Source organism: Homo sapiens, chromosome 3, assembly GCF_000001405.40.
Source record: "Homo sapiens chromosome 3, GRCh38.p14 Primary Assembly".
NCBI classification, from domain to species: Eukaryota; Metazoa; Chordata; class Mammalia; order Primates; family Hominidae; genus Homo; species Homo sapiens.
The window spans coordinates 134172842-134185044 of NC_000003.12; the positions used below are offsets into that span (position 1 = coordinate 134172842).

General features: G+C 37.6%; 1 protein-coding gene across 3 annotated transcripts in view; it reads right to left on the bottom strand.

The window, feature by feature from the left end:
• RYK (receptor like tyrosine kinase) overlaps positions 1-12203 on the bottom strand; it is a 93727-nt gene that overhangs the window by 15709 nt on the left and 65815 nt on the right. For 2 of the 3 annotated variants that reach the window (NM_002958.4, NM_001005861.3), the window contains exons 10-13: positions 10161-10230; positions 5100-5232; positions 3089-3198; positions 2768-2927 (exon numbers count right to left, since the gene is read on the bottom strand). In NM_002958.4, the coding sequence (NP_002949.2) occupies positions 2768-2927; positions 3089-3198; positions 5100-5232; positions 10161-10230 (473 nt within the window). Of the gene's footprint in view, positions 1-2767; positions 2928-3088; positions 3199-5099; positions 5233-10160; positions 10231-12203 lie in introns of those variants that run through there. The other variant, XR_007095716.1, reaches the window with a different exon arrangement.

A 12203-nucleotide genomic window follows, 5' to 3' on the forward strand; every position in this document is an offset into this window, starting at 1 on the left:
CAGTATCCAAGAGTCTGGCTTTATTTCCCTCATCCTGCCACCCATCACCCACCATGCCCGATGCCTCTCTGGCTAGGAGAGGCTGTGGACAACATGAAACAGGTTGTCATTCAGTGTTAGCTTCTGAGACTGCTCTGTGAAGCAGATCACATCCCTTCTCATAATCATTCATATTTACTTTGTTCATCTCACAAATGTCAGATAAATTGTTTCTTTGAGAATAGTTTATCTTGAGTTAAAACAAAGTATTTTGAAGATATATAAAATGAAAGACCTTGATTTTAACAAAATTAGCTAGGCATGGTGGTGCGCGCCTATAGTCCCAGCTACTCAGGAGGCTGAGGCAGGAGAATCGCATGAACCCAGGAGGCGGAGGTTGCACTGAGCTGCAATCGCGCCACTGCACTCCAGTCTGGTGATAGAGCGAGACTCTGTCTCAAAAAAAAAAAAAATTTAAAAATTATATAAGTAAATTGCTCATTCACATTAAGTGAACACATTTTATCAAAATACTTGGTATGTAAAAGGAGCAATATATCTGTATTAGTCCCTTCTCACACTGCTATGAATAAATACCCAAGACTGAGTAATTTATAAAGGAGAGAGGTTGAATTGACTTATTTCTGCAATGATGGAGAGGCCCCAGGAAACTTACAATCATGACGAAGGAAAAGAAGAAGCAGGCACCTTCCTCACAGGGTGGCAGGATGGAGTGAGTGTGAGCAGGGGAAATGCCAGACGCTGATAAAAGCATCAGATCTCGTGAGACTCACTAGAACAGCATGGGGGAACCTGCCCCCCATGATCCAATTATCTCCACCCTTGGTCTCGCCCTTGACGTGGGGATTATGGGAATTCCAATTCAAGATGAGATTTTGGGTGGGGACATAGCCAAACCATATCAATATCAAATAGCACATAGTTTCTAAAAAGGAAAAAAAATTTATTTAGTAGTTAGAGTTAATTAAAGGAATTTTCCCCTTTCTCAAATTATTCTCATTTTAAGGATTTTAAATTAGAATATCAGTTTTTCAGTAAAGAAATCTTAGATCATTTCAATTATTGACTGCAGTGAACTGAATGGTAGCCCCAAAGATATGCCCATGTCCTACTCCCTGAAACTTGTAATTACCTTACATGACAAAACGTGATTAAGGATCTTGAGAGGAAAAGTTTATTCTGGATTATGTAAGTGGGTTCTAAATCATATGTATCCTTTTAAGAGGGAGGCAAAGAGAGTTTGAAAGACGTATGTGAAGAAGAAGGTGGTATGAACTTGGAACAGAGGGATGGAACCGCAAGCCAAAGAATGCCAACAGCCACCAGAGCTGAAAGAGGCAAGGACTGCTTCTCCACTAGAGCCTCTGGAAGGAGCCCAGCCCTGACTACACCTTGATTTCAGACATTTGGCCTCAGAAGTGAACCACGAGAGACTATATTTCTATTGTTTTAAGCCACCAAGGTTGTAGTAATTTGCTACAGCAGCCACAGAAAACTCATACACCGAGGAAATGAGTATATACCAATTAATATAATTAATTAGCGTACAGTAATACATGATTAAAAGATTAATCCTTAAAACATACACACTTTGAAACAAAAGAGTAGCCCTAAATTTTAAAATATAGACACACAAAATACAATGATACAGTAAGCCCAATTCTTACAGTTGAAGCTTAGAAGCAAATTATTCTATAGGATTTTACATATAACACAAACAGATTATCACTGAGTGAACATATGTGGGACCCTATAAGCAGAAGTTTTACCTAATCCCTAAATATTCTGCAACAATAATAAAGTCTAACAGGCAAGAGACAGGAAAATAAATTACACTTAGTCTTCCAAATAAGACTAAGAAATCAAGTGACAGAAATTTTACATGGCTGTAAAATATGAACAAGTGAACGTGGCTTCTGAAACTGTACATCACAAAGGGCCCAACTATGATCTGGCTAAGTGGCAAAACCACCCAGAAACTTGACAAAAGGAAGAGGATGACGGGGGGATTTACAAATTTTATGAGCCATAACACTTAGAAGAGGTCACCTGAAAAAAAGAAAACATCTTTATGATCTAGCAACTATTTGGTCTGCCTCTTATATAAGAAAGAAATAATAATGAAATTACTGTAACTGCTCTGAGTCTCAAAATCCTCACCTTTAAAACTGGGATACCACAGCCTATCTCCTAGTGTTAATAGTGCTTCTGTCAATGGGCGTGGTGGCTCACACCTGTAATCCCAGGACTTTGGGAGGCGGAGGCAGGTGGATCAACTGAGGTCAGGAGTTCAAGACCAGCCTGGCCAACATGGTGAAACCCCGTCTCTACTAAAAATACAAAATTAGCTGGGCATGTGCCCATGGTGGCACACGCCTGTAATCCCAGCTACCTGGGAGGCTGAGGCCTGAGAATCGCTTGAACCTGGTAGGCAGAGGTTGCAGTGAGCCAGGATTGCGCCATTGCACTCCAGCCTGGGCTACAAGAGTGGAACTCTGTCTTAAAAAAAAAAAAAAAAAAAGTGCTTCTGTCAGAGCAGTACTGTGAGGATGAAATGAGATTACAAACAGTGCTGGCCTATGGTCTGGGTCACAGCTCCTCTCCATAAACTGGTTGACTGGCAGCTAATTACACTTGCTTTCTGGATAAAAATTTCCGGGAACAGCTAGCAGATTTTTTAAAAACCCAAAAGATAAAAATAGTAGAACATTTAAAAACAGAAAGCTGTTTCTCTATTCTTTTGCTATCTGGGGGTCCCGGCACTTACCACATCACTAGCGCTAGAGAACTCGTTATTAACCAGACTTTCAAGAGCCATCCAACGAACTGGCCTGTTTTCATTGTCCCCCAGACAGTGATAGTCCATGGGGAACAAGTCTCTGGAGAGGGCATTGTCTGTGATCTTAACTTGAAGTGTGTCATCAATGCTGAAAAGTAAAGATATGAACATCAAATGCAATCAGAGTATTAAAAAGTAGGGATCATCACCACCCTTAAATACAACACAAGTCCCACTGTGACTCGCAGAGAACCCCAAATCCAGGAAGCACTCTACATCAAGTGACAGCGTCAAGCTCATGGCACCTACACACAGTTCCTGGCAGCCAGGTCTTTGTGGATGACTTCCCTTCTGGCCAGGTAGCTCATTCCACAGGCAATCTGAATAGCCATGTGTACCAGGTCTTGCTGAGAAATTGCCTGTGGTAACAAAAAATAACATGGTTTGCAAATAGCACACAAATATGATGGCACTTTCTTACTTTTTTTATTCCACAATCCTACTCCATCCAAAAATACTGCTTTAAACCTACACACAGAATTTTTAAAAGCTATTTCTTGACCAAGACTATGTTCCCATATATCCCTATACTTATATCAACTGTAGTCCTTATTATTCTGTAATCTACCATTTACTCTGTCTCCTTTCATCTGTTAGATGTATCTCCCCAATATCCAGCACACACAGCAGCTGCTCAATACATCTGTTCAGTGAATGCTGAGTTCTCAAGGTAATATTTCAAATGTTTATAATTCAGTAATCTTTTTTTCCCCCAAACAGTAGTTTTTATTAGGAGATTCTCTCTTTGGGATTATTTTCAAATTAACACAAATCTAAGCCTGGTGCAGTGGCTCATGCCTATAATCCCAGCACTTGGGAAGGCTGAGGTGGGAGGATCACTTGAGCCCAGGAGTTCGAGACCAACCTGGACAACATACTGAGGCCCTGTCTCTACACAAAATGATTTTTTTTTAAATTAGCCAGGTATGGTGGCATGTTCCTGTGGTCCCAGCTACTCAGGAGGCTGAGGTGGGAGGATTGCTTAAGCATGGGAGGTTGAGGCTGCAGTGAGCTGTGATCACACCACTGCCCTCTACCCTTGGTGACTGAGATCCTGTCTAATGAAACAAAAAACAAAAAAACCCTGCAGCTGGGTGCGGTGGCTCACATTTGTAATCCCAGCACTTTGGGAGGCTGAGGCAGGCAGATCACGAGGTCAGGAGATTGAGACCATCCTGGCTACCACGGTGAAACCCCGTCTACTAAAAATACAAAAAATTAGCCGGGCGTGGTGGCAGGCGCCTGTAGTCCCAGCTACTCGGGAGGCTGAGGCAGGAGAACGGCGTGAACCTGGGAGGCAGAGCTGGCAGTGCTGAGATCACGCCACTGCACTCTAGCCTGGGCGACAGAGCGAGACTCCATCTCAAAAAAAAACACAAAAAACAAAAAACAAACAAAAAAAAACCACACACAAACCCAAAGTACGAGCTCCTAGCTTTTTCTGCTGATGTGTTCTTCTAGGTGTATGACAGTACTTGGGGCTGAGGAATAAAATCCTTCCCCAGGTAATGCAGATGAGCCACAGCCTCTAACCACTTATTGAGAATCCCAGCTTTAGTCTTGTCAATTTACAAAGCATATGATACATATTAGGCCAAATACTGAATGCAGCCTTTGAACCCACTTTCTCCTGGCAACTATAATAAGCATACTATTATAAATCCTAAAGCAACTTAATGGGACAACAAGATACAGCTGACAGCAAAAAAAACCCACTAGGCTTTACTACCACTACCATCATAATATGCTTGGTATCTGACCTTTGCTTTACAGTTATAAACACAAGCAGGGAAGAGAAACACTCTTAGATGACTGCCATCTTACAGCCACGCATATTAACAATACATCCAATTATCTCCCACAATCTAGACCTCCAGTCATCACCAGACTTTGGTATAGTATGAACCAAATGGCTCTAGAAAGTCTGTTTCCATTCCTAAGAGGAAGATCTAGGACAAGTACCCTCAGTTATCAGGAAAACACCTAAGATGGCATTACAAAGGGTTTGAGTTGATTATGAATAAGTACACAACGAGAATATAAGGAAAACTTCAGCATCAGCACAGTGTAAGCCTCAAGGCAGGAACATAAGCCAACATTTTCCTTTAAGCCAACAGGTTATAAATATCTTGTGGTTCATTTTGAGGTTCTTTTTTGCAGGCCTCTAAACAGTTTATATTTAAGAATGTTAATATCTACTTTCAAAGACATTATCAGAAACTACTGGTAAATAATTGGTATTTGGGCAAATTTTTCTCACCTGTGGATTATTGGCCTCTACTAACTTGCACTGTCGTAAAAACAATTTAAGATTCCCCCAATTCATGTAAGGCAATATCACCATGGGCTTTTCTCCTTCTTCTATACACACATGAGTAATAGGAAGAAGATTTCTATAAAATAATAAAAAATTGGGAGAAAGACAAAGGAATCCAAAATGTTAGGGGCTTACTTCTAATAAAAATAATCTAAAACAAAACAAAATCCCCAAAATACTTAAAAACATGATTACCATTAAAAATGTAAAATTATAAGTGTTCTGTATTTTAAACCAGACTTAAGTGTCCCCTATATATGTGCATATATCCCCATATATGCACATTCTTGGTAGGGAAAAATCATAAACTCAAAGTTGCTTCCTGTGGGCTGGATTCTCTGAAGGCACACTCTAACCACACTATATCTTTACTCCAAAGGGCAATTAATCAGAGACATCTAAAAACTGACTTGCCCATGAGTGTATTATGATAACAATATCCCACTTACTCCATTATCACACATGAAAAAAAAAAAAGGCCCAATCCAGACGGTGGTCAAGAATATGATCATCAAAAAAGGTCTCTAAAAGGCTGAAACTGCCACAAAAGCCAAAAAGTTCTTAGCTGGTCACACTGGATTTAGAATCAGATTTTTGAATCCTAGATTTACCAATTACTATCAGAGTGACCATCTTCTCTTGGCTTTGGTTTCCATTCTTATAACATAGGGACCCCACCAACCATAAAAGGTTGCTGTGATGTGCAAAATAAAACCAAGCATGTAGTGGACAATCCCGTTCCTATTTTAATTTCTATGGCATACATACATACATTTCATCCTACTGTCTAATAACACCTCCTCCACTGACATCTGGAAATAACTGCTAATTTTTCCCAAGGTTATGTAACTTTTTACATAATTATATCATCTTCCCCACTAAGCTAAAAATTGCTAGAAGACAAAAACTAAGGTAAACTCAATTTTTATACCCAACACTTCGTAATCTATGCTATATAAAACAAACATTTAATAACAAATAACAGTAACAAATAGCCTTAAAACATTCCTACTCCTTAACTTGGCAAATCCTGCTTCTAAGGATGTTTAATAAGGAAAGAATAACAGGATAATAAGTCACAATTGGTCACAATATGAGAATATAAGTAAAAGCTTATCTTACAAGAAAGTAAGATAAAAAATTCCCATTTGCAAGATAATTATAAAAATGGAGAAAAATAATAAAGGTCTGCATGGAAATATGCAAAGAGTTAAGAGTTGTCTTTAAGTTGTAAGACTATAGATAATTTCAGCTTTGTTTTCTGTATTTCCTAAAAATTGTCTTAATTGAGCATGTATCACTTTTTAAACCCCAGTTATAAAACCGTGGCACAATCACCAATGCACAAGTGGCAAAGCTGTGCGCTCCCCTCATATTTGCAGGAGTTACTAACATGGAAAGCACTGACCCTGAGGAGGTGGGAAAATGAGGACTTAAAGATCAGTAAACCTCTAAGAGGCAACCTCTCTATAACCGCTCAAGTGGCAGCGATTAGGAGTTCCACTTTATATGCAAGGAAATCCACGCTGGGAGAGAAAGTTTAGGTAACCTGCCAAGGACAAAGAGCAAGTACACGGAGAAAAATATCAGATCTTCATCTGATTCAATACCCTTTGCATTCCCCTGGACCACTAGACTTTCTCTCCAGAGGAGCAAGGGAGATCACATGGGAGATTACAGAGCTTCCTTTCCACCAACTCCCATGAATACTAAAATGACTACAGGTTTACACTAAGGATTAACTTGGGCATACCATTAAACACTGTTGCCCAATCTATTTAACTCACCAAAGATTACTTCTGTTTCTTTCTTTGTGACTGAAATTCATTTAGCAGAGTTAAAGACATTTTATCCATTAGGTTTGCTGGGTGAAGTCAAATCTTTTATTCCACTACCACAGGATTAAAAATCCACTGGTAGAGCTAACAAACTTCATGAAAATGTTTCAAAGTACAAATGGCTGTTTTTCATTCTGCCCATCTTGTAATGAAAAGGAGGATGAAGGGGAAGGTCTGGATCTCTAAGAAGAGTGAATGAAAGCAGGAGATGCTATAGTGAAGAAAGAAGGTACAGGAAGGGTAGGTTCTGTGGGGCTTGGCACAAGAACTGCCTCTAATTCTCAGTCTTGTTGAGGGCGTTTGCAGAGGGAGAGCTGTGAGCCATTTGGCATAAGAAGTGTTCACCATCAGGCATCTTTGGGCCAATGAAGGGGCCAAACTACAAGCAGAAATAGCGCAAGAGTACTTTGATGTGAAGCACTTCTAATGAAATTAAAATAGGTTAATATCTTTTATGTATACAGCTATTTTAACTTTTAATAAAATTATTTTCATAAATTCCAGTGGAAAAATGTGTGAAAAGAAAGGATTTCAAAATGCTTTAAAACACTTCAATACGCGTACAATCCGTAACCATGGATGTTAAAACATGAAGCAAACATGCTGTATTACATACCACAAGGTAAAATCTAAAAACAGGTGTCTTTTCTTGCTGAATAAATTCTATATTCTGTTGCTTGATAAATTCTATAATACGATCTCTGAAGATCATTTCATTTTCATTCTGCCTAACACAGTTCCAAGTGCAAAATGGGTACTGAATGAATTAGAATAAAAGAATGAACAAACAAATACATAAGTATAGCTATGAACAGTCTATACATATTAAGGATCAAAACAAAATGTGTGATAGGCCCTGGTCACCTTAAAAATGAAATGAACTGCTACAATGAATGGAAAGAATAATATACTTTCTACATGCTGACAATGTGTTTTATTCATTGTAACTAGGACTCCTGCTATCACCTCATAGAAGGAAGAACAATTAAGCATAATCAAGCTATAACCTACCTTTACAAGACTTTCCTCAAGGACTGAATGCTCAGTATCAAATAACCCCAATTTAGTATGTAATGTCATTCAATTCCCTAAGGACCTCCTGAGACTGCTAATTCATCCTGATGGGATGCTGCAAAACCTTACAATCTAAAACTGCATGAGACACAACACTGCAAATGCTTGCTCTGAGCATTTTTCAGCCAAGACATCTTTAAGGCTACAGTGAATATAAAACCGTTTCTTGGGAAAATCCTGGCTTTGTCTACATTTATCCCTGCTACTCACTTCTGTGCTGAAGTGATGCAAACCTTTCACTGGGGTAAGAACATTGGCTAGGTATCTAAGTAATAGGTTAACATTATATACTAGGATTAAACACCTTTGGCCCTTCTCCCTAGAGTCAGTGTAATAGACCATTAAGCACTTTCAACACTGCCAAAAAGGACAATATTCCAACTGTTTCTTTCCCTTCTGCTACTGAGATTATCAACTTTTAGTGTTTCCTTCACCCTTGGTTGCCGAGAAGCTAGGAGGTGTTTTATGTTCAGTCACAGTAAAAATATTTGTTCTCCTTACTGCTGGCTCATTTGTTTTCTTTTTTACCACCACAATGCCAAAAAACTCAGTTTCTTTTTCATTACCATTTTATTTATCTTACTGTGGCTGCCTTCTTTTTAGGTCCTCAAATCCTTCTGAATATGAACCAAAATATAACTAAATTTAAAAGTAAGGCTCTGGGTAGTCACCTTATTTTTCAGCAGAACTCAAGGAACTGTCTAAAGTATACAGAAACTATATTTTTTCAGAAGCCTATAAACATCTTCCAACAGAGATAACCACAGTTCTTTTTTTAAACATATGTGATCAAATTTTCAGTAGACATACAAATTATGTTGACTCTATATAGTGCTTTAAAAAAATTTGCTCTAATGTTGATACTGTCACACATTATGATGTTACATTTAAGCTGCTTCTGGCTCAAAAGGTAGAAGTTTTTGTTACAGTTCTGTGAACAGGACCAATACCAAGCTTTTAAAAAAGGTCTTCATGGCCGGGCACAGTGGCTCATGCCTGTAATCCCAGCACTTTGGGAGGCCGAGGTGGGCAGATCATGAGGTCAGGAGATCGAGACCATCGTGGCTAACACGGTGAAACCCTGTCTCTACTAAAAATAGAAAAAATTAGCCAGGCGTGCCTATAGTCCCAGCTACTCAGGAGGCTGAGGTAGGAGAATGGCGTGAACCAGGGAGGCAGAGCTTGCAGTGAGCCAAGATCACACCACTGCACTCTAGCCTGGGTGACAGAGCGAGACTCTGTCTCCAAAAAAAAAAAAAAGGTCTTCATATAGAACTATAAGTAGTTTTTAAAAATCATGCTATGGCATAATGATTGTATACCAGAAATTAGTTAAATAAAATGTGGTACATCCATTCAGTGGACTACTATGTAGCCTTTTTAAATGGCTACATGGATTTACAGTTGCCAATATCAAAAGTCAGATACATTGTTTCATTAAATTAAGAAGCATGTTAACTTTGTCAAAGACAACAGTGATATTATGATTATAAAGAAAACTATCTTCTTTTTATTGAAAATACATGCTGGACATGCACTAAAAGTACTGAGATGTCTAATTTATTATAAAATAGTTATATACACAAATATATAGATACCTGTATCTAGAGATATGTCTCTAGATACAGATGGATAAATACACAAACATACACAACACAGAAAATATGGCAAAATGTTAACTATTACTGCATCTAGAAGGAAGATTTATTCATGTTTATTATACTTGACTTTGAGGTCCTATACGTTCAAAAATCTCATAACAAATATTTTTTAACATATGTAAACCATCATCCTATTTTTTAAAGGGAAATGTGCACATAAATATGTATAAATTATTTCTGGAAAGATCAGCTAGATTAGCTATGATTATCCAGATGTGGGCTTACATACTATTCTTTGTTTTCTTTTATACTTTACTGTGTTTGTAAGTTTTGTGCAATGAGAATGCATTTCACTTTTATATTCAGAAAAAAAAATTAAGCTATTCCACAAAGCTTTCAATTCAGAAGTCATCACAATGTTCTGCACATAAAAATGTGGCATCAAGTGTTGCCATGCTCAACACTGAAATGCTGGTGGTTTCTCCTCTCACCTGTGATGAAGACCTCGCAGCTTACAACTTTCAGTGAGCATCATTGTCACCTGAATTTCAGAAGCTTGATCTATATATAAAGAAAAGAAAATGTCTTGAATAATAATACTACATATATGGCATTAACATTTTCTGCTATTAGTAAATAATTATCTTGAACTATAAGGTACATAGGTTTTCATTATAAGTTACAGGTAAATCTAAATAGATCTAGATAAAAATTCTACTGCAGTCTCATTAAATAGGTCAATTTTCCCAGAAATTTTTATATTAAAATCAATTAAGTTTCCATAAACAAAGCAGAAAATGCAATAACAGACTGGAAAAACATATGCAACACATAAGGCATATATACTGCTAACTTCCTTTTTTCCTATTTAAATAGCTCATATAAATCAATAAGAAAAAGAGGCAGAGGATATAAACACACAGTTCACTGAGAAAATAAAAAACAAATGACACACAAGATTACAAAACGACTCACAGCCTCAGTCCTAAGAAATGCAAATTAAACCAGGAGATGCCATTTCCCCTGTCAAATTGAGACACAAAAAATTCCACTACCTACTATTAAGAATTTGGGCAAGAGTGTGAGAAAACAGGTTCATCAATAGTAGCTTGGATAGATGGAGAAAGCAACATGTAACAAAATTTTGAAATGCAGATATACCTTCCATCATCAATCCCACTGCTAAGAGTCTCTGTTACAGATATAGTCACAAAAGCTCATCTATGTACAATGTAATAAGAGCACTGTTCAATGGCAAAAAAACTCAACCACCAAAGTACCCACTAACAAAGAACTAATTAAATTGACACAATGGGATACTATGTGGCTACTTTTGAAAAATGAGATATGTACTGACAGAGGACGATCTCTAAGGTATATTAAATTTCAAAAACAAGGTACAACTTGTGTTTACATATCCTAATATTTCTTACATATTAAGGAATTGTTTACATATGATGGCTACTTTTCAAGATGGGAGAATTTAGGTTTTGTACCTTTCTGTTCTGTTTATACTTCCTAACCTAACAAACATTACAGGTATAAAATGACTACAAAAGTTATGATTGGAGATTATGGCCTATTCTGTTGCTTTCTTCTTTTTACTTCTCTGTGGTTAAAAACAAACAAAAAGAACTAATAATACAGTAGTAAAAATATAGTTAACTTTCATATGATAACCAAAATTAGAATTATGCCATTTTAGTTTTAGTTTCTAAACTCATGGTTTTTGGTCCAAAGTAGCAAAACAGAACAAATGAACTTTTAGGTCAATGTTTTTGAAACAAAAACATGATAATGCAATTTACCAATATCTTTAAGTCTACATCTCCAAAGGAATTTTTAAGCCTTCAAATATTTGCACAAATCCACAAGGATTCCTCATCTTATAGGGACCACGACCTTAACAGTATAGAGGAATTTCTCCACTGCTTGAAAAGAATATTTCTATTATAAAATTGAAAATGCAGCCAGGTACAGCGGTTCACACCTGTAATACCACCACTTTGGGAGGCTGAAGCAGGGGGATCACTTAAAGTCAGGAGCTCAAGATCAGCCTGAGCAATACAACAAGACCCCATCTCTATTTCAAAAAGTGTTTTTAATTAGTTGGACCTGGTGGTGCACACTAGCAGTCCCAGCCACTGAGGGGGTTGAGGCTGGAGGATTGCTGGAGCCAAGGACATCAAGGTTGCAGTGAGCCATGATTGCACCACTGCACTCCAGCCTGGGCAACAGAGCAAGACCCTGTCTCCCAAAATAATAATAATAAACAAATAAGAAGTGGGTTTGAATTTTAAAAAATAGTTTTTAAATGTTAAAACAAACTTAACAGTATATTCTTAAAAACCCTTTCAAAGAAACCCATAACGAATTTTTACATCAGTAGTAAAAACAGCAATAATAATTTGTAAAGCTCAGGCTGGCAACATGGTGAAACCCCATCTCTACAAAAAAAAAAAAAAAAAAAAAAAATTAGCAGGGTGTGGTGTTGCACACCTGTATTCCTAGTTACTCAGGTGGCTGAGGTGGGG